This window comes from Homo sapiens, chromosome 1, assembly GCF_000001405.40.
Source record: "Homo sapiens chromosome 1, GRCh38.p14 Primary Assembly".
Classification (NCBI taxonomy): domain Eukaryota; kingdom Metazoa; phylum Chordata; class Mammalia; order Primates; family Hominidae; genus Homo; species Homo sapiens.
The window spans coordinates 175,338,891-175,362,630 of record NC_000001.11 but is presented as its reverse complement, the minus strand read 5'-3'; the positions used below and the strand labels follow the sequence as shown (position 1 = coordinate 175,362,630).

The window sequence follows — 23,740 nt, the reverse complement described above, 5'->3', positions numbered from 1 at the left end:
ACCCTGGCTGAAGATCTGGGTGAAGTTGTTCGGGCTTGTAGAAAGGTTCTGGAGGCTAAGGCTCCATTTCGGGGTGCTCCTCCAACTCACTGTGTCTTGCAGGGCAATTTGCAATTTCTCTCCCCCAATATTCCTCCCTAATACTAAACGTTTAGAGAGTCACCCTCTAGAAGTCTTGCTGGTTTAGGTTAGGAATTTTCATGGAACTTCCAACATAAACAGTGCCCTTTCAGACATATAATGGAAGTGAATTCTAAAACAGATATCTGAATCATTCATCTGATTTTGTAAAAGACTCAGATGAGAAAATTTCACCTCGAGAAGAAAAGGGTTGTTATTCCAGTAATGGAATGGGGTCATGAAATTCATCATCAGATATAGCCAGAAACCACCAAGAAGGTGCCTTTGCTCTTGCTTTGTGCTCCAGGGAGAAAGAAGGCACCAAAGTGGCCATAACTCCCTCACCCGGGACCAAAGCAGTGAAGGTGATGTGGCTCCGTGTGCATCCTGGGCTGCCTGCAGGGGCACCGTGTAGCTCATGTCTCTGACAGGCCCCCTAGTCAGATCCAGATGTCTTCTGCATCCTCCATCAGCTCCTACATAATGACCAGAGGAAGGGAGGTGCAAGGGAGAGACTGGCTTGCAATATGGGAAAGTGAGGAAAGGTAGTCCAAATCCCATGGCCTCCCTCTTGAAAACAAGCCCACGCAATGGGGCTGAAGAGAAGGCTCCTTTGCTAGCACCACTGCTCCTCCGTCTCTGGCCCCTCAGCAAGTACACCAGGCAGAACATGCAAAGATTCGCTGCAGAACTCACTAGCAGGCACAGCCAAAGTGTTCTATTCCCATACCCTAGACCAAACCTCCTAGTTAAGCCATCATTCCCACAGCACGTGGGAAAACATCCAGCTTGCCTCATTAGGAGAACACCTGGATTTTCTACAGTTGCTTAATTTCACTGGAGAATGGTATTTCCCAAATGAGGGAAATATACTTTAGAATTCCTTACTGCTTTCGTAGATGTTCTCGGAAGCTCAGAAACAGCATCTCTAAGGCAATGGGCCAAGAAATATTCCTTCACAAACACAAAAATTATTCTTCTAAAGACAGCGCAGGATATTCTGATCCTCCCTAGTCTCCTTCCAGGCTTATGACAACAGATAACACAGCCATTCAGTTTTGCCCTATCTATTAAATTACCTGTGACCATTAAAATATCAACAAGTGTTGGCCAGAAGTGAGGTCCAATACACCAAAAGAAGCCTCTATCCCACCTTCTTGAACCAAGAAATTCATATTAAAGAAATTAGCCTTTTTCCCATTGAGGACAATAAAATGTATTTCAAGAGCCTCCTATCCCCAAGATAAAAGAGACCAGCAACTTCAATCAAAAACTCATTTCTTTAGCCAGGCATGGATGCATGCACCTGTAGTCTCAGCTACCAGGGAGGCTGAGGCAGAAGGATCGCTTGAATCCAGGAGTCCAAGGCTACAGTGAGCCATGATCATGCCACTGCATGCCAGCCTGAGTGACAGAGCAAGACCTTGTCTCTCAAAAGAAAAAAAAATCCTTGGGTCATGAGCAGCTAGTATCTCTAAAGCAGATATTTGGTACACCAACCCAAATGGTATGCCCATCCAAACTGCCCTCCTTTAAGTCTAGGCAGAGCTATTTTAGCAACTTCCAATAACTAGATTGCCCCAGAATGTCTTATTTTGCTGTTGTATGTTTGTTGTGGTTTTACGTTGAGGTCTATGATCTTACAACTTTTGGAAGTGAGTGCTCCTTCAGGGTGTCATGTTTGTCTCGTGGTATCATGCATGTCTCAGATAGATCAAGCCAAGTGTAGTCTAAGGGCTGCATTTGAAGAACTCTTTGAACATGCAGATTATGGATACAATTCCAATTTTAACATGAAAATATTGTGCAGGTTGTTTCTTTGTGATAAAGGACATAGGCAAGTGAAAAAAATACTTTCAATTAGAGAATAGGGCAAGATCCACAGCAGATCTTGGTTCTCAAAAGTAAATTTTATGACACTTGGGTTGAGCTGATAACTAAACTGTTGTAATAACATCCACTTGTGATAAATTATAACCTGATGGAAGAGAAGCACAGTAATAAAGCAAAGACTTAGAGCATGGGCAAGTAAGACTAGGAAGATGATCCTATGACAAGCACAATCTTTTCCTCTAACAGGCCCTTTTGACCTACCTAAGCCTGGAAGAATCCTCTTGACTCTTAATGCAACAAAAAGAATACCAAGGACTCAGTCCTGAGTGAGACTTGTGAGCAGTGAAGCAATCATCCAATAATCAGATATGACTTTTGAGGCAACCTGACTGAGCCCACGCAGTCATTCCATGGGTGGATCTTCTATGTTCTCTGTCCTGGGGATACTCCTGCCCCTATGGAGTTGCCACCACACTTCCTGAAGCTCTTCAACAGAGATCTTTCCATGAGGCACACCCTTACATTTATAAAAGTGCAAATAGCCTGGGAAGTATGATTATCTCATTAACTAAAAAATTATAACAATTTCTGTGGGTTCTTGGTTGCTCCATCTAGATTTAAATGTTGAAAATTCATTCCAGCCATATCTTGAAATCCTCTTTAGTATCTGGCACAGTATTCTGCACATAAGAAGTTATTGAATTAATTAAAAGGAAGAGCTGGGGGCGACTGGGGGAGAACTGGATACTTGAGAGAAGGGAGGCAGGGAGAAATGGAAGAGGCTGATGGAACCAGAAGAGGAGAAAGGGAAGAGGTTTCTGCTCACTTCTTTGTTTTGTAGAGTGCAGCAGCAGTCTTGCACCATGAGTGGAACTTCTGAGATCATTCCCTGCATTTCTATCCTGCAGCTCCTCTTATCTGTAACTGATAATCTATTCTGTTTCAGCCATGGACAACCCTGTGGATCTGATTGCTACCAATATCACTCCAACAGAAGCCCTGCTGCAGTGGAAGGCACCAGTGGGTGAGGTGGAGAACTACGTCATTGTTCTTACACACTTTGCAGGTGGGTGTCTGCAGGCCTGCAGATCAGGCAGGTGGGAATGGTGGGAATTGGAGCTGCAGACCAGTATGATGTGAATAAACAAAACATTTTTTCAATCTGAAGGACAGATTAGAAAAGTTCCTACTTCAGGTATACTATGAAGCCCTCAAGATATCCCCAAACTCTATGCTGGGCATCGTGGCTCACACTTGTAATCCCAACACTTTGGGAGGCCAAGGCAGGCGGATCACTTGAGGTAAGGAGTTCAAGACCAGCCTGGCCTACATGGTGAAACCCCATCTCTTCTAAAAATACAAAAATTAGCCGGAAGTGGTGGTGCAAACCTGTAGTCCCAGCTACTTGGGAGGCTGAGGCAGGAGAATCACTTGAACCCAGGAAGTGGAGGTTACAGTGAGCCAAGATCACGCCATTGCACTCCAGCCTGGGAGTCACAGCAAGACTCCATCTAAAAAAAAAAAAAAAAAAAAAAAAAGAAGATATCCCCAAACTCTGCAAACTGTATCAAATCTAGGAGCTGAGAAAGCTGAATCTGAAAGGTACAAGAAAGGCATGTAACCAAGGGCAAGTACAAAAACAGAGCAATAGCCCTAGGAAGATGAAACTCAGAACAGAGCTAAGACTTGCCCCCAAAATGCTACAAACAAGAAAGCAGGCTTTTCTAAATATTCGCAGAGCAAGAAAAACACTGAAGATATAGGACCAAGTTTGAAACAGAGAGTACAGGCTAACAGGTGACAAAAGATTCAGGACTGCTAAACTCTTCCGTGTTTTTGTCTTCTCTATTCATATCCAGCCCAACAGGTTTAACTAACACGAAATCTTGAAGTTCACTGTCTTCTGTATCATGCTTGTTCACCTTACACCATTTGAAGTTGAACAGAACAGAGAAGCCCAAAGCAAAATAGAGTTGAGTCCTCCAAGTCTCTAGGCTTAGGGAAGTTATTTCCCTGCCTTCATCAAACATGTGATCACAGAATTGTTTTGGGTTATATTCAGGAATCCAGAGAACAAAGATACCAGAAGACAGAAGGCAGGCAGATGTCTTGGTTTTCAAAAATGACAGAGAAAGCTAATTCTGTGAGCTGCAAAGAAGTAAACTTATTGTCAAAGCTTAGGAAGGTAAAAACTAAAACAGACAATTAAACAACTTGGAAAAGGAATTAGTGATTACCATATAGCAGCACAGATTCACCAAGAATAAGTTTTATCGAAACTACTTTATGTCTTTGTTTTCATTGGCAAACCTGCTAGTACATTTGTATTTCAGCAAGGCATCAGAAAACCCCACTTATCACTTAGTCCTTAGTTAACATGGAAAAATACATGAAAGGTCATATTTGGAGGTAGCTGGGACTGTAGCTGAATGAATGACCCTCCATGAAGAAGGGATAGCATTACTATGGGTATGTCCTAACCCCTCTGTGAGCATGCACAATCCATCTCAATTCCTGTCACCCCTCCTTTCATAACATGATCCCGCATTTTTTAATTATCACCATGCTTTCTCAAGCCTCCATGCATTTGCACATGCTATTTCTTTCACCAGGAAACTCCCCCATTTGCCTGCCTAGAAAACCCATCCTTCAAGTCGTGGTTTCAACCCTATCTCTTCTGTCAAAGCTTCCCTGAAGGCAGTCAGACACATCTGCTCACAGACACTAAACACACAGCTCTAACAGAGCAATGAACTTCCATTCATTCCACAAATACTTTTGATGCCCTACCATGTGCCACACACTCTATAAGGCTATAAGGATTCAGAAACAAAAATTGAGCTCTCATCTTTATGGAACTCACTTCTAATGATGTTGCAGAGAAGTAAATAGTTACAACTTGATGTGAGCAGTGTATGCTATAGACATGCACAGAACACCATGGGCCATGTCCAGTGGGCTACTATGAATAGGGTCAAGGTGTGGAGGGAAAGAAAGAAGAAAAGTCTTAGATAAAGTGAAAGAAGAAAAGGAGAAGAAAGGGAATTTCAAGAAAAAGAGCAGACTGTGGGCATTTGCAGAGATGTGAGAGTGTAAGAAGTCTGAAGAACTACCATAGTTTGGTATGGCTGGAGCATTAATCAATGGCATGATGTGCAAAGGGGGACATTAAAAAGATGATATCCTTATACATGCTCTTCCAAAGCTTAAGCATTAGTTTGAATTTTAACTTGTTTGTATGCCTTTAGACCACAAGAAACTTGAAATCTCAAAGCCCTACCTATTCTGAAAATGTGCCTAGTAAACTGTTAAATATTAAATAATTTCCAAGTATTCTAATTGCCCAACAGAGGAGTTGGCCCTGAACTAATGAACAGTTTTATCAACAGCTTGAATGAATTCAGAGAAGACATGCTTACCAAATTTGTGTATAAAACAAAATTGTGATCAATAGAATCCAAGTTCAAAAATATTTTAATCAACTGAAACAGTGGCCCAAAACTCAATCAATGAGGCAAAATGCAATAGAAATAAATGCAAAGCTCTGTCCATGGGTATAAAAAATCAACTAACAAAATTGGATTGAGAGGTAGGGGGAGTGGTTACAAAGAAGATCTTTGATTAGCAATAATCTTGGCATGTGATAACAATATCACATGGCATTCCCAAAACCTTACTAATTAATATAAGTGGCACAAGCACAGACTGACCCTGTTTATTTCATTGGTCAGTACCTCTCCATTATTCTCAGTTCTCTGAGTTTTGGACTTTAGCAGGGACATTGATAAACTGTTACGTGTTCAGAGAAAAGTAGATAGGACTGTGAAGGTTTTAAAATTGTCACATAAATGTGATGGGAAGTGGGGGCTGAATTTTCTCAGTCTAGTGGAGAGAGAACTTGATTAGGAAGGGTGGTGGAGAGGAAGGGGTCATGTACACAAAAGACTAGATTTATCCTTAATAACTCCAGAGACACGAATAGAAGTTATAGAGAAGACAATTTGACCTGCACATAAAGAACACTTTTTTTCAATTATGATATGAGATGAGAGGGGAATCCTTGCAAAGAGTAAGATACTAAGCTAGATAACCTATGAAAGATTTTTTTCCAAAATTCTCTAGTAGTAAATCCATGTGAAATACCTTTGGATTTGGTAGATCTTTCCTAAACTGAGTAGCCTTATTCAACCCTTATTCATATTCATTTGAGTTCAGTCGCTGGAGAGACCATCCTTGTTGACGGAGTCAGTGAGGAATTTCGGCTTGTTGACCTGCTTCCTAGCACCCACTATACTGCCACCATGTATGCCACCAATGGACCTCTCACCAGTGGCACCATCAGCACCAACTTTTCTACTCGTGAGTACATGGTCACCTACATACCCGTATCCCTGGGGACTTTTGTGGAAATGATCAGCTTTCTTGTGGTGGACTAGATTATCACTTACAGGCTTTGGACAGGGCAGCTATGAGCTGTTCTTATTTGGACTGACTACAGCCCAAATTCAGTGAAACTAAGCTGCAACTTTTGGCCAGCAGAGACATGTCTGTTTTCTGCTCTCACCCTGGGTGACAGCAGAAGAACCAGGTCAAGAGAGGTCTGTACTCGGAATGCATCTGCCCCAGAAAAGTCTGATGGATATTAAAAGGCTAGATATCTAGGAAAGAGCTGCTGAGTAGAGTGATGAATAGGAGAAAGTAGACATAGGTAATATGTGGAAACGTAAGTTCACGAGTGAACAAGCAGACATGAGAGTTTATCAGGGTCCAGATCTCAGGCATAGAAGGTCAGTGTGGAAGATGTCACACCCAAGCCTAGAGGCCCTGTAAGGGAAGGGGAAGTAGCTGCAAGAATGATCGTGGCACTGAATGATTATCATCTGACCCAGGAGCACCCTTTATGCTCCTTTCCAAGCCAGAGCAGGGGTCAGCATGTGAGCAATCCTGAGACCAAAGAGGTGGGCAACAGATACCCATACCTGAAATCAAGCAGGGGGAGGAGCTGGAGAGGCAGGCATGCCCTGGCACTTTCTCCTCTTTGCAGTCCTGGACCCTCCGGCAAACCTGACAGCCAGTGAAGTCACCAGACAAAGTGCCCTGATCTCCTGGCAGCCTCCCAGGGCAGAGATTGAAAATTATGTCTTGACCTACAAATCCACCGATGGAAGCCGCAAGGTGAGATTTTGCTGGAAAGGGAAAAGACCATTTCTTCCAAGTGAGGCCATGTGGAAACTGACTAGTGGAGTGACCACAGGACATTGGAGGGAGGGGGAAGGAAGCAATCCACAAGGATTGCTCATCAGCTTCCCATCAAGGATACCCAGCCTGCTGTTGATGAGAGAGCCCTAGTCTGCAAGCCAGAAGATTTGGATGATAGTCCTAGCTCTACTGCTACTCTCTACGTAAGTTGAGGCAAAGGACTAAACCTCCTCAAGGCTTGCTTTCTTCTCTAGCTAATGAAGGTCTCTACCCCTGCAACTTCACTGGGTTGTGCTGGTGCTTCCAATACAATGACACAAAGCACATTGGAAACTCCCAAGTACATGATATTGGAATAGTTTTTCAACAACAGGGCTGAGCAAACATGAGCTGGATACCAAATTCAATAGGCTTTTATGCCTCTTGATAAGCATTATAAAGGTGATATCTGTGTAGCCTACAGTAAAGAAACAACAAATTTTTGTTTTATTTCATCAGTTGAAACAGTTCATCCAGAACACTGATTTTCAAGTTTTTGTTAGTGAAGCAACCTCTTTTTAAAGGGAAATCATATGCAGAAACCAAAAGCACAGAATACATTTCAGCAGAGTTAGTCTGCTTGATAGAAGTAAGGAGGCCTTAGATCCCACTTCCTCAGCTCTTTCTCTGCTCTCAAGCAAGTACAGTGCAATCTGAAGACTTCTAGATTCAATAATGCAGGTACCTAAATTTATCCCAATGTGCATTCCTGAGATAGGAGCTGGCCTAAATCTCACATGGGAGCTCTCCTCTCTGCTTATTGGTGCAGTAATCCTTATTGTGGGATGGAGAGGATGACAATGGCCATTGCAATACTGACCTAGCTGCCCATGGGATTTGGACTTCCCTTCCCTACTTTCCCAAATTGCAAGCCAGTTGCTCCCTTCCACCACCCTTCCTTTGGCTCATTATACAGGAGCTGATTGTGGATGCAGAAGACACCTGGATTCGACTGGAGGGCCTGTTGGAGAACACAGACTACACGGTGCTCCTGCAGGCAGCACAGGACACCACGTGGAGCAGCATCACCTCCACCGCTTTCACCACAGGTGAGGGAGCATGGCCACTTTGATGCCTTCTTCTCCACTTCCTGATGTTTGGCTCATCAGCAGCCTCTGCTGAGACTTGCTCTGGGAGCAGTTTATCAAAAAAGCTCAGTTGCCTCCTCCTTCTTTTCCCCTGTCCAAGCCCCTACCAGGAAACCTCTCACTAACAAGGTAACCGCAGGAACCAGCAGTACAACTCCCTGATCCACCCGGACCAATTAAATGCACCAAGTAAAGACATCAGGTTCTGGCTGGGTGCGGTGACTCACACCTATAATCCCAGCACTTCGGGGGCCTAGATGGGCAGATTACCTGAGGTCAGGAGTTTGAGACCAGCCTGTCCAACATGATAAAACCCTGTCTCTACTGAAAATACAAAAATTAGTTGGGCATGGTGGTGTGTGCCTGTAATCCCAGCTACTCAGGAGGCTGAGGCAAGAGAATCACTTGAACCTAGGAAGCAGAGGTTGCAGTGAGCTGAGATCGTGCCACTGTACTCCAGCCTGGGTGAAAAAGTGAGACTCCGTCTCAAAAAAAAAAAATAAATAAAAATTTAAAAAATCAGGTTCCTTCCAGTTCAGGTTTTCTGCAAGTGGTTTTCCAGCAAAGTTTATCTTTCTCTTCCTCCTTCCTCTGCTACCTGTAATCAGAGACTCACTTAGTAAAAGCAGCAGTAGTAAACCCTCAACATTAAACCTGCAGCTCTTTTCCATACACAAAGGACTTTTGCATTCCTATGATCTCACTCAGTTCTTATATAACAACTGGTCAGGAAGGCCTATGATCCCCATTCCACAGGTGATGAAACCAAGGGGCACAGAAACCAAAGACTTACATGGCTAGTAAATAGCTGAGTCAGACCTTGAACCCAGGTCTTCTACTTCTAAATGCAGCTGTTCCGGCTGCCTTCCCTCCTTAAGTCAGCAGAAGATACTTGAAAAACGCTGCTAAAGGATAAAAAAAATTCCTAATCTCTATAACAGGAAATAACCTAATATCTGACTTTTGAGAGTTACTTGCCAAGTACTGTTTAACTGCATTACATGTATTACCTAATGTAATCCTCACAACAGCCTATGTGGTATGCACTATCATCTCTATTTTTTACAAATGAGGAAATTGGGCCACAGAGAGGTGAGGTAACTCACCCAAGATCCCATAGCTCTTAAGTAAGGGAGCTGGAATTTGACGCCAGATGTTTCAGCTCTGGGGTCTGTGTTACTAATGTTTCTCTCTACCACCTCCCACTGTGCCTCTCTACAGTCCATAATGTAAGGCTGCCCAGCCCCGACTTTGAATTCTCTCCCTGGCCCACATTATGGGGGTGTGGGTGCATACATGTGAGGCAAACCTGAGCATGTCCCATATACTCAGCCACATCCTGCCTGCCATGTCAGAGCACCAGAATGACTGGATTCCCGTCCATGCCTCAGAGCCTCTTCCTCCATCCCCAGAGAGGTGAGAGAAAGTCCCCCAGCCCCACCAGGTGTCTCCCCCACTGCACTCGTTCTAAATGACAAAGCAAGACACTGATCAGATATGACAAAATATCCCCAGTGGTTCTATAGAGTGCGGAGATTGTGAACGAGTCCTCTTCTCCCTTCTTTTTTTACACTTTTCAATACATCACAAAGTATCTTAAATGAGCACATTAATCAGAGAAACAAGTGTTTTAATTAAAAAATAAAAATAAACCTTGGGTACACAAACAGACATGAATCCAAGATGTATCTTTACCAAGTGGAACTTAGAAGACACTTGATCTCTTTTATGGGGCTGGAGTCAATTATGCTCCCCCTCCATGCTCTTGCAAAGGTGTCTGATCTCAGAACTAAGGTGCTACCCTCTTCTTGTTAAGCCCTTCCCTGCACATTCGCAGGTTAATTAAAGAGGGCTCCATGGTCCTCTTTTCCACGCTACCACTTAAAGACCCACGGGTTGGAGCTTTCCATTGAATTAAGAATTTCTTTTCTATAAAAAGGACACAGATGACAGACACTTAAACTGAGCTCCCAATTTGCATATTTATTAGGTCTAAATTAATCATTTTATCCCCAAAATGCATGGGTTTCAATGTTTGCTCAGTGTAGTATGGGCTTTTAATTCCCACACTGATGATGCCACAGCTAGCAGTTGTGAGCAGTATGACAATGTGCCTCAAGTCTCTGTGGCATCTTACAGCTGTGCCTCACTCCAGACCCACCTGGGCTGTAAAAGCAAACCAGCTTCTGTGCCCCTCACTGCCCTCTCTTAGATGCAGCTGCGCCAAGCAGTGTACAGTTTTTTGGATCTGGGATCCCAAATCCACCTGGGGCCTCAGTAGGATCAAATAAGCAGAAGATTAACAACACACATGGAAATCTGGAGAGGAGGCAGAATAATGGCTTCATTTGGTGGACAGTGCAGGGGACTATCAGGATGTATTTAGGTTGTTTGTTTGTGTTTACAAGACTCCAGTTGACACCAGGCTCTTGGGGCATGACCAATACCAGCTCAGAAAGGGGAAAACAGAAGAGCCCAATTTCCTATGCGGTGAGTGTAGCTACTGACTGAGCTGTTCCATGTAGAGTTTGTATTATTACTTCTGTGGTACATGGCAAAGATATGTCTGTGTTTGGAAGCTTTCGCAGTTTTACTGGAAAGCTCAAATTTAAATGTAAGTCACTCATGTATACCAAACTCTGCTGGCTTTGTCTTGGAGATTTATCAGAACCCACTGAAATGACTGGTTGCAGAATGAAAGATTCTTGGGCAGAAATAATGCATGTGAAAGTATCTTGCACAAAGCCTGGCACATACCAGACATAATAGACACTGGTTAAATTGAATAGTCAAATCTCAGCTGCAGAGCACAGAAGAGGGGTCTCTGATAAAATAAAGCCTAAGGCGATTTTTAATACCCCTTGTAGGGATAAGACAGGCAAAGAGGTATAACCTTCAAGAGTATGATGTGATGCCCAAATTCCCTCTAATTTCAGGCTCTGTCAGCCACCTCAATGCAAATTTCCCTGAATAAATTCCACTAGGCTACATAGTCATTTGCATGGTAATATTAATGAGCTCTCGTTGCCTGTGCCACCTCTCTACCCCAAAGTTTTCTACCCCTGCCCAAGAGCAAATTTTATTAAGGAGGAAAAGAATACAAGGGTATCAGCTTACAAACTTGGTGAGGTGGGATTGGGGACATTACCAATAAGGAAAAGCAAAATTGAAGAGCAGTGTATCTTCACTTATATGCAAGACTGGAGTGCTGCCAGTCAGGACCCCACAGACATGAATTACTCTTGCTGAGCAAGAAGTCTGAGAAACACTGGAAGCCTCCCAGGTGATCGCAAGCCAGGGCTAATGGATTTAGAGGCTAATTTCTTTTTAGCAATTAGCATCCTTTCCAACTTCATTGACAGTACCTGACTTTCCCACTTAGCAGTATCCTACTCTTAGGATGGGTTGATCTCAGCTCATCATTCTGAGTGTTTTCTATGCCTTCTCTGATGGAACAAGAGAGCTTAAAGTTTGGCCCAAAGTTGCCTTTATCCACGGATAAACCCTCACCTTGTCCCAAGTGGACCATAAGAGGTTCATTGTAAGCAAGATGCCTACCTGATGGCCTGGAAAAGAGTTAAGATGTCAAAAAGTAATAATAAAACTAAAAAAGAGAAGAAAAGAAAAGAACTGGCACTCACAAACCCTCAAAAACCTCCTTTGATCAAGATGTCTTCCCTTGTTGTGTTTCTGCCACATAACATAAGTCCATTTCATTCTTTCCTTCATGTTAATAGCTTCCTGTCCTCTTGTCTCTGGTGTTTGCACAAGACTCTGGAGGGAATTAAGTACAAGTAGTATGGAAGAGAAAAAATATGGATACATTATTTATAATTTACTGTCGCCTGAAATTTCATCCAAGGTCTACTTGTCTTTTAGAGATATGAATATAAATGAGGAAACAAATATTCCCCACAGAGCAGCCAGGACTTGGTGAAATGATTGTCTGAGAGGCAGTTTCATTGTCTCTTTTAATACTATAAAAAGCAAACAAGGTTCTCACTAAAGCTTGTCCTAAGAGACAGTGAGCACTATAAAATAGGTTGTCTTGACCTTGAGGTTAAGTAAAGACAATCATTTGCAGAGGTACCCAGAGATGGATAATAAGAAGTTTTCTTTTATTACCTTTGCTCCTGTCCCTGCCCTTCCACATCCAGGCTGAGCTGTTCTGTGGGGCTTTTTAAGAAAACTTTGGAGTCTACTCTAACACAAGCTTCAGCTTTTGAGGTTGTGAAAATTAATGAAGATTGGCAAACACCACACTCTGGAACAATAGATGGCAGATCATGGAAATTCACATACTTATCAGATAGATATTCTAGTTAGAAAGGAAAGCCTCATGATCACTATCCACGGCTATCTATCCTCAGATATGCCACAAATCCTTTTCACCAAAGTGCAGAGGTGATAGGGCTTCTCTCTGCTCCACTATTTAGAAACAGCTTGAGTTCTTGCTTTATTATAAGACAAACAAACCCCTAAAAGGAGAAGTCTACCTTCTTTCTTTGGGACCTGGCTGTGGAGAAGGAGGTAGGGCACTAATTATCCCATTTGAACAAACCATTTCCATGCATGTCCAAAATTAATAGAAGGATAGGTGTCAGATCAGAGGTTTCAATTAATCACACTGCACAGTTTTTCACATACCACCCATGTCAATCTCCAGCAAGGTCCCAGTCTGTTTTTACTCATTTATTTCCTTTTACCCTCTTCTCTTCTTCCACCTTCCATAGGCAGGCATTTGATACATTAAATTTGTGTCCTTTTGTTTGTATGTATTTTTGAAAAATGTGTTCTTGTAAAATTACTTTGAGTATAAATATTTTAAATATATGTAAGCGGTATTGGGTTACATAATTCATTCCCTATTCTCATAGTTTTTGCTCAGCACTGTTTTTCAGACCCATCCGTGTTGTCATGCATCTATATAGTCTTTTGCTTCTAATTGTTGCAAAATACTGCATGGTGGGCACCCATCTTATTTTACCTCTCCATTCTCCCAAAAATGGACATCAGATTGTCTCCAACCTCCCACCACCACAAATGGTGCTGCAGTAAATACTTTGTACATGTCCACTTATGGATCACTAAGGTAATGCCTTCTGGAATATATGCCCAGAAGAGGAATTGCTGGGTCATAGGGGATGTGTTTACATAGTTTAACCATGTACTGCCCTCCCACATGGCTGTACTAGTCTACACTCCCTCCAACAGTGCACAGAAGCTCCTATTTCCTAACGACATGCATCATTCCAAATGCCTTGACATGGCCTGGCTTTGTCATTTTTGATAATCTCATAGAGATAATTTATATCTCATTTTTCTAGTTGAATGTCTTTAATCATTAGTTTGAGTTTAAACATCTCTTCATATGTTTTTTAGTCCTTTGAGTGTTATTTTCCTCTAAATTTCCTGCTCATATAGTTTGTCAATTTTCCACCGGGTTCCTGTACTAAATATTAGCTATTATTATTTGAGCTTTTGAAACCTTTCTTAAGAAGTCTTTCTTTGCTTTTCAGCCAAAAGGTTTTCTTCAATATGTTCCGCTATTAACTTTCTAGATTTATTTCTCTATATTTAGCCTATTTTATACTGGTATTAGTTGAGGATACAGTTTCATTTTTCTTTCTATAGTGAACCAGTTCTCCTAACATCATTTATTAAATAATCCATCTGTTCTGTATTGGTTTGTGGTGCCTCATTGTATATTAAGTTCCCATATGTACATGGATCTCTGTTTGACCTCTGAACTCCCTATTCTACTCTCAGATCTGTTTTTCCATATGGTATTCCATAAATACCACATTGTGCTTTTATAGCTATAACTTAATACATTAATATATGGTAAAACAGTTTTCCTTAGTTTTCATTTCGAGGTTGACTTACCTAATTGGTGACCTTTATTTTTCCAAAGGCATCTTAGTTTAACAAGTTTAGTTTATCAAGTTTATCAAGTCCCCCCCTCAAAAATTTTAACTTGAATTTAGATTGAAATGACAATGAATTTATAAATTAATTTGGGGAGAACTGACATCTTTGTAATACTACAGTCATCCCTTCTGAAGGCCTATAATGCATCTTCCTTTGTTCAAATCATCCTTATTTTTTAATAGAGTTGTAAGTTTTTCCTTTATATTCATAACAAACATTCTATATGTTCTTGGCTAATTTCTGAACATTTCATTTTGTATTGCTGATAATTTTTGTCTAACTTAAAAATATATATTTTCTAGTTGGTTATTACCAATGTAGAAAAATACCATTAATTTTTTATATCAATCCAGTATCTAGCAATCCTGCTGAACTCTCTTATTGATTCTAAGTATCTATTGTTTCCGTTAATTTTTTTAGGTAAATGTTTTATGTCATCTACAAATAATGGCAATTTTATTTCTATACTTCTAATTCTTATACCTCTTATTTATTTTTCTTTTCTTATCACATTACCTAGGACCTCCTGAACTATGATAAATAGTGACAGTAATATTAGGTACATTGACTTTAGTTGCATTCGCAAAAGGAATGCAACTAAAGCATTATCATGTTGCATAATCTTTGCTAAATCTTCCTTTTTAAACTTCCTTTAGATAAAAATTAAAATGTAAATTTAAATTAAAAAAAAAACTATTTAGGCCAGGCGCAGTGGCTCACACCTGTAATCCCAGCACTTTGGAAGCAGGCGGATCACTTGAGGTCAGGTGGTCGAAAACAGCCTGGGCAACATGATGAAACCCCATCTCTACTAAAAATACATAAGTTAGCTGGGCATGGTGGTGCACACCTATAATTCCAGCTACTCAGGAGGCTGAGACAGGAGAATCGCTTGACCCTGGGAGGCGGAGGCTGCTGTGAGCCGAGATGACACCACTGCACTCCAACCTGAGCAACAGAGCAAGACCCTGTCTCAAAAATAAATAAATAAATAATAAAACAAACAAACAAAAAAGCCTATTTAATTTTTTCTAAAATAAAGAAAATATATAATTGGCTAATCTTGAATAAACACAAATAGTGTTTGTTTAGATTTGAGGTTTAAAACATTTATCAAGGTATAGAATTTTCTTCTAAGTTAAGAGTTTTTGTAATAAGCTTTGTTGTTAAACTTTATCAAATGGTTTTTATAATACCTATTTAATTTATTATATGACTTTTATCAGTTAGTATACTAATGAGGTGAGTTATATTAATAGCTTCTTTCTCGATATATTAATTACAATCCTTAGAGAAATCTCTCCTGAATATGATTTGTTAATGCACTGTTATATATGGTTAGCTACCATCCGTTTAGACTTTTCACATCTACAGTCATAAATGAAACTGACCTGTATATTTTTTTCTTGTGTATACCTCTTTATTGGGTTTTGAAATCCATGTTCACTAATCTCACTCTAAAAAGAAACAAAAAAAGCTAGACAGCTTCATCTTTCACTCTTTTTTCTTTTTTGCTTCTTTTTTTTTTTTTTCTTTTGTGGAATAACTTGTTCAGGACAGAACTCCTCACTAAAACCACCTGGGCACATTGTTATTGTTTTGTTTGTGTCTTTTCGTTTCTTTGTTTTTGGAATAGGAAACATTTGACTACCACGTCTAAGTTTTTTAAAATAATTATCCATCCATGCTCTTGCTTTCTTCTTGTACCAGTTTTGACCCTTTATAAATTTTTGGAAATATATTCATTTCATCTGATTTCCAGAATTTAGTAGCATAAAATTCTTCAAAAGACTTTTCATTGTTTTATTATCTCTACTGCATCTGTAGCTATTTTCCCTTTTTCATTTTATTTTTTTTCATATTCTGTCTTTACTTCTCAGTCTTCCTAGTGATATATTTCTTTTATTAATATTTTCAAAGAACCAGACTTTAGATTTCAGATACATAGTCCTGTTTGTTTATCCCTCCTCCTTTCTTAAATGTGTCAATATGGCATCTTTGTGTAACAATCCAAGTACTTGAGCACCCTCTCAAATCCCACTAGACTCTTTCCTCCCTACCCGCTTCACCTCCCCACAAACAAGCTCTGTCTAGGTTTTGGCTCTGGATTCTTATGGATAGGCTTTCTCTTTTCTCTCTGTTAATTATAGCCTTTTATTTAAGACAATATAAATAAAGTTTTTCCAAGTAGTTAATCATTCTTACTTTTCACATCTCTAGAACTTGTCACTCTTATTTGTGTTCTCTAAATTTTCAGTAATGGATTTTGTAAGGCAAACCTTCCGTAATTTCATATGCCCAAGGAACTTTTGTGGTTTTTTTCATACATTGAAATTGTAATTTAATCAGATATCAAATACTACCTAAAAATATTTGTTCCCATCATATTTAAAAATACTATTCCATTATCTTCTCAAATGCAGTGTTGCCATTGAGAAGTCGAATGTTAATCCGGTTCCTGTTCTTTTGTAGGTGATCTGCTTTTTCTTTCTAGAAGCTTTAAAAACAATATTTCTTTTATTTTTGCAACTCTTACACTTCATTATATGTCTTGAAGTTCATTTATGTTTTTATCTCCAGTTTCACACTCTATACACTCTTTAAATCTGATCTGTTTTATCTTTAATTCTGAGACATTTATCTTTATTTTTATTTAAGCACTTTCTCCTCTTTTATTTTTCTTTTCAGGACTTTTGTTAGCTAGATGTTGAAATACATAGTCTATCCTCCAAATACCTTAGCTTTTTAAATGTTTTCTTCCTCTTTATTCTTACTTTTTATGTTCTCAAAGAGTTCTTTAATCAGAACTTCCAACTCACTTGCTTACTCTTTAGCTTATTTAAATCCCTTATTCACCCTATCTGCTGTATTCTTACTTTAAACTGTTAATATATTAATTTTTATTTATTTGATTTTTAAAAAATCCTTTTTTATATTGTTAATTTACTTACCTCCTTAAATAAAGTTATTGTGCTTAATTTAAATTCTGTTCTAATAATTCTGTACCAGATGATCAATCTCATAATGGTTGTGGTCTTTCTTTCACAGTAGTCTTACTCTTCAGTGAATGGATATTCTGGCCTGTGAGCTCGTGTCCCTTTGGGGTTATCGGCTCCTCTGCTTGGTAATGCAGGTATTAGAAAAAGGCCACAGACATGTGAAGGATTGGCAGTGATTACTCCATGGCAATATGAAAGACAAGCAAAACAGACTTTTTCAAAACTTTCTTCCAAGCCTTCCTCTCTCTTTTTTTGGTGCTGTTTGGTTTTGTGGGGTTTTTTTGTTGTTGTTTTGTTTTGTTTTGTTTGTTTTTTTGACAGAGTCTCACTCTGTCACCTGGGCTGGAGTGCAGTGGCTTGATCTCGGCTCACTGCAACCTCCGTCTCCCGGGTTCAAGAGATTCTCCTGCCTCAGCCTCCCGGATAGCTGGGATTACAGGCACCCGCCACTACGCCCAGCTAACTTTTTGTATTTTTAGTAGAGACAGGGTTTCACCATGTTGGCAAGGCTGGTCTTGTTTGTTTTTGGTTCTGTTTTTGTTTTTTTATCAGACTAATGCTGGCTGCAATGAATGAGTTGCGCAATGTTCCCTCTTGTTCTATTTCCTGGAAAAGAGTATATAAAATTGATGATTTTTATTCTTTAAATTCTTGGTAGAATTCACAGTGAAGATACCTAGGCCTGGAAATTCTTTTTCTAGAGATTTTAAGCACAAATTCAATTTTTAAAAATAGTTTCATCCTATTCAGGTTATCTTTTCATTTTATCTTGCACAACTTTGGGGATGTGGTGATTTTCAAGAAATTGGTCCATGTCATCTAAGTTACTGAATTGATTTCCATAGAATTGTTTGTACTATTCAATAGGACAGGGACATGTGATCCCCCACAGGGAGGCAGTGAATCTTGCCAAGCAATAATACAACCTACTATTGAGGCAGGAGAATAGGGTCTGGAGGCAGGGAATCTAAGACCAATTCGTGCTGACTTCCCAAAGCTGGATCAAAAGGAAAATACCTGGGTATGAAGGCAGGAACCCTAAGGCCAATTAGTGTCAACTTCCTAAAGTTAAACCAAAAGAAAAAACCCCATCTCCCCATGCCTAGTAACAAAGGTTCAAAGCCTGCTCTCCCTACAACTCCCCGCCATCCACCACATCTCAGATGGAAAGGGAAAGTGTCCTGGATTGGCCACCCTAAGCACCGGCCATCCCTTCGTCTGCATTCAATTCACCCCAGCCTTTAGTTAGCCACAAACCAAAGCCTTCATTCAGATAAGGGGTAGCCGATAGAGATCTCAAAAGGAGTACTTAAAACCCAGGAAACTTTGTAAGCAGGCCCTTGAGCCACTTGCCCAGGTGCACTCTCACCTTGTGGAGTGCTTTCTTGCTTTAATAAATCCCTGCTTTCTCTGCTTCATTCCTGCGTTTCATTCCTGTGTTACTTTGTTTGTGCATTTTGTCCAATTCGTTGTTCAAAAACGCCAAAAACCTGGACATCTTGTACTCGAGGCCTGCCTTCCAGTAACACCATGGGTTGAAGGTGACATTGTGAATGTTACAGCAGGACCTTACATATTACTATATACAGAACTTGCTCTGGCCTATTTTAAATTGTGTTGTCCCAAATGTTTTCAGAAAATCTAATTTTAATTTTCCTTTTCATAACCATAGGGGAGGGATAGGATATAGTGCTCACATGGCATCATACATTTAACAAATACTGATTGAGCACCTACTTTGGGTCAGACACTGTTCTAAGTGCTGAGTGATGAATAAGGTAAGAGCCAGATGATTATACTGTCATGGAACTTACATTCAAGGGGATGAGGCAGTGGGAATTGACCAAAAGCTAAGTAAATAAATAAACAGAGTAATGGAATAGGGACAGTGTAAAGAGCTGACTTCTAGGACAGCACCTATAGTAGGAAGTCTTTCTTGATTATCACTTGCCACTTCCTCCACCGATCCCAGACCCTGGTCTCAACTAGGGTCGTCAGAACAGGTGTCTCTTTACCTGAGACCTGTGAGCCAAGACTTGAATAATGAGAGTGAATCCACAAAGAAGAGCATTCCAGGCCTAGGGACGAGTAATTACTACACCCTGAGGGAGGAGTAAGTTTGGCCTTTTCCATCTGTTACAAGAAAGCTAATGAGGCTGAAGAATAGTGAAAGTGGGGAGGAGTGCAGGACAGAGACGGAGCGTACAGGGCTTTGTAGGCCATGGTAGGGATTCTGGATTTTATTCTAATTGCAATAAAGAAGCCATTGAAGGGTTTTGGGCAAGTAAAAGATAGGATGAAATCAGATCACATTCACACTATAAAAAGGTCACTCTGGCTAAAGTGTGGAGAATGAATGCAGGTGGGACCAGAATGGCAGCAGGGAGACCAGTAGGAAGTGTCATCAGGACCCAGCCCTCCCTTGCCATGTTGAATCAAGAGCCACAGACAGGGGCCAGGCTGCAACTGCCAGTCTGTGATCAATCTAATCTGCCATGAAATTGGGTCTTCTGATATAAGTGGATCAAAGGAATAATAAGAGAAATGATGTCAGAACATTCCTCTAGTACTAGGATGCCTTTAGCTGACCTGTGAAGGGAGGATTTAGATGTCTTAGATGTCTGTTGCACTTGCCCTTGGGCAGAAGGCAGGTGGTCTGCAGAGCCTGATGACCTTCTTCCGGAACTCTGTTGAGGGTGAACACATCAAAGCTGTCTTGTTCAGTTAATTCTCCACTCACTCTATTACCTCCTTAAAGGCTATTGTCACTCTCCTCCTGGGTTCCCACCACTACATCCTGAATGGAGTCCTGCCTCCAGGCTCACCCCCATCTAATTCATTCTCCACATTGCACTGAGAATGGTCTTTCTAACAAGTTGAGCTTAAAGTCCACCAAAAGACTCTTCCTCCAATTGCCTCCATAAATGACATGATCCCATCCCTGCTTACCTCCCCAGCACTCTCTTTCCTCCATCCCACCCAATTCTTGCTCTGTCTCCTGCTAAACCTTCAACTTCTCAAAGGGGCCGTACTTTTGCACAGGTCTGGAACACCCTTCTCCACCAATTTGTGGCCAGCATCCAGGTCAGTTCCTAAAGTAACTTTCTGATTAGCAGTTGTCACCCTTTGCCCTATCCCGGGCCCCCACTTCTCACCCTGTCCTTGCCAGCCAGGCATCATTGCACGCCCACATCCAGGTTTTGCCAGCCCACAATGTTTATCTCTTTCCCAGAGCACTTAGAGCTCAAGGTTATATTTGTTTCTCCCACCACAGCATGAGCAGCCTGAAAGGTTGTGACTGTGTCTTTTCCTTCTTTATATTCCCATCTTTTAGCCCAGTATTTAGAACCCAACAGACACTCTGTTATATATTTGTTGAATTAGTAAGAGTATAAACAGGTAAATATACTGGAAGACGCTGTGAGAAAGCCAAGTGGCTCACCCCATGTGGGCTGAGCAGGTAACCTTGTCCTGTTGGCAGACTTAGGCTGCCCCTGACAGTCTAGCCAGCTACTCTGCAGATGTGCGCCATTGATTCTAACAAGGGAGAGTCAACCACAAACAAGCTTCTGGGAAAAAGCAAATCTAAGTGTTGATAACCAGAGGTGGCCGCCTGCACTTCTATGGCGCAACACTGTGTTCTGCGCTTACAGAGAAACCTGCTGAGGCTGTTTTCAGAGACAAATGCTGACATTGTGGCTTCAGTCCTGATGCTGAGGCCAGAAAAGTGGACAGACACTTGCCAGGGCCATTAAAGCTGATCATTTTAAAGGAACACCCAAGAATCCAAAACAAGTAAAGAGCAGGGCCAGGACAGAGAAAGTCTGTCCCAGCAGTGGTGGTCCCCTGACTGCACTGCGTGTCATGTAGCTTGCTCCACTCCACTCAGCATTCAGCCTCCACTTCCCAAAACAAACCAATTTCAGAGCAATTCTTCTGGTGAACGCCATGGTCCCGTTGATCTCACAATTACATCTAGAAACACTTAACTATGAGACATTTCAGTGTACCAAGCACTTGTTGTGGCTTTTCTCTTAACTTAGTAATCACCACAGCCTGTGCTAAAAAAAATAAAAATTAAAAGATTCTCCATCGGTCTAGGCTCCAGTTATTGCACCAAAAGGAAGAAAAACCTTCCAGTTTTGCTCTTGGTCTTAAGATTTTGCTTTGGGAAAAATTACTGAGCTGATATATGTTGGGGTCAGAGGCGAGTTTCTGATAATATTAAATGGTGTGACATCCAGAGAGCTAGGAGGGCCTGAAATTTGCCCTGACAGTCTCCTAAAATGTATAAAGCCCCAGTACGTTCACATTGAATACAGCAGAACAGGAACCAGTGTGTTCTTTATTATTAGCTAAGCAAAGTCCAATAACCCCCAAAGCAGAACAAAACAATAAATACTAGGACACAAAGCTTAGACTCCAGGCTAAATGCAATCTCTTATCCCCTCTCCTTCCTATCGCACTCAATCCAATTCTTGGAACCAGCCCACTCAAGACATACCTACTGGGAAAGGGAAAGAGGGGGAGAGGGAAAGAGGAGGAAAGGGGGCAAGTGGGAGAGAGAGACAGACATTCAATCTACAGTATTCATCCACACAGCCACAAGGATCTGGGCAGAGAACACAGACCACAGGGCTCCTCTGAGGCATTGCTTAGTTTACCAATTCCACTTCTTGGCCTCTAGAGAAGAGGAAAATGTGCCAGACAAAGAGAAGGTTCAAATCTAGCTGGTCTTCAGACTTGTCTGAGAAGCTTCAGTAAAACACTGATTCCCTGCGCCATCCCCTGATATTCTGATTCAGTGAATCTGCTATGGAAACCAGGAATCTGAATTTTAATAAGGTCCCAGTCTGAGAACCATTAGTGAGCCTCTGCCTTCTCTTGTCTGCAAAAAAAGGAATAATATTTTGGACAAGGACTAGAGTTGCAGGCTGAAGCAGGTTGAAAAGGAATGGTTTTGCTGTAAATGTGAGGTCTTCTCCAAGTTCCGAAGATGTGAAAATCCCAGGTTGCTGCTCTTGATAGTCTGTGTGAGCAAAATGCTTGTTGTCTTTACATTAATGCCACTGACTAAATCACAGCAAATGGAATCTATAAACAACCAAATGGCCTTGCAATTTGTCAAAGGGAAGGCAAGCGCACCCAGCAACGATGCATCATTGCCTCATGCACATCTGGGGAGTACCCGCCCCCCGCCACCCCACCAACCAGCTCATTGCCGGCCTGGAAGGAAGAAAGCATGGTCCTTCCTCTCCCAGGGTGTAATCTGGGACGTTTATCCCATCCAGTGTTTGGCACCCCTTAGAAAACACTTTTTTCTTAAGATAATTTTATTCTTATTTTTCTAACTTTAAAAAATGAATCACTATTTTATATGATAGCCATTCAGGTATTCAAAACTCCCCTTGTCTAAGTCATCTCAGTTTACTGTATTTGTCTGTAGGTCTAGCTTTAAAGCAACTAATATGTTTGAGCCTTTAAAAAGTATCTGTAATATAAATATTAAATCAATCTACATTATCAATATGAAGAAGCCTGCATGAGATCGTTTGTTTCCCCATTCTGATGTTTAGATTTATATGTGTATTTGTATGAGACTGTCATTTTGAGATTTGTGGGGAGATGTTTTGTTGGGGATACATTGGATATTGGAAAGAAATTTGGGGTTCTGGCTCCTTCAAGAAGCTGAGTTTATTGCATGAAGAAACCTTTCTTCAGGAAAAGGGGCTATTAGTGCATACCTTAGGAGTAAGCTAAAGACCAAGGGCACTAATTGCTGATCTTCTAAAATGAGAAACTCAAACAGTGAGATGAAAGGGGAGAAAGAAAGGCAGACAGGCTGGTTGTTCCAGAGGCCAGGTCAAGAATGAGGAGATAATAGCAGTGCTCCCAAATCAGCAGGGAAGGAGACAGAGACAGCTCACACCTGTCTCCTGAAATGTAACTGTAGCCTCTAGGGGTAGGTGGGATCAGGAACTATGAAGAGTTCTAGGACACTCTGCAGATGACAGTTAGCTTTTCTGCAGCTATTAAGGAAATCAGTTTGAGAGGGTATGGATATTTGATTTGAACATAGAAATTTTTGAGATCTTTAATCTTTGGGGTTTTTTTGCTTGTAAGATAAATGCAGGTATTAATTAATCCTTTGCTGTATGCATAGATTTCTATCTTCAGTAAATTCAATCATGCATTATATTTCCTGCTTTAGTAGAGTGCAAACAGCACTTAAGCCATCTGAAAATATGAGTTCCAGCAATCTGAGTCATGTAATCTTTCTGAGTGCAGTTTCCTTCTCTGTAAAATAAGTATATCTATACCAATCTGCTGTCCTCTCAAGTTTCTTGCAAGAATTAAATGGAAATAAAAACACTTGGTAAAGGATAGGTTCTATAGAAATTTATTGTCATTCCCTGGTATAACCATGCCTGCAGTAGGCAATGCCTTTGTTCTAAACTACGTTAGGCCAGTGCGCCCTCGACGGGTGTGTGGCAGCAAGTTGAAGGGCAGTCCTGGTGCGGGGGCAGTTAA

General features: G+C 41.0%; 1 protein-coding gene across 2 annotated transcripts in view; it reads left to right on the top strand.

The window, feature by feature from the left end:
- TNR (tenascin R) overlaps positions 1–23,740 on the top strand; it is a 428,402-nt gene that overhangs the window by 380,965 nt on the left and 23,697 nt on the right. For both annotated transcript variants that reach the window (NM_001328635.2, NM_003285.3), the window contains exons 15-18: positions 2,900–3,019; positions 6,169–6,312; positions 6,998–7,128; positions 8,108–8,240. In NM_001328635.2, the coding sequence (NP_001315564.1) occupies positions 2,900–3,019; positions 6,169–6,312; positions 6,998–7,128; positions 8,108–8,240 (528 nt within the window). The remainder of the gene's footprint in view (positions 1–2,899; positions 3,020–6,168; positions 6,313–6,997; positions 7,129–8,107; positions 8,241–23,740) is intronic.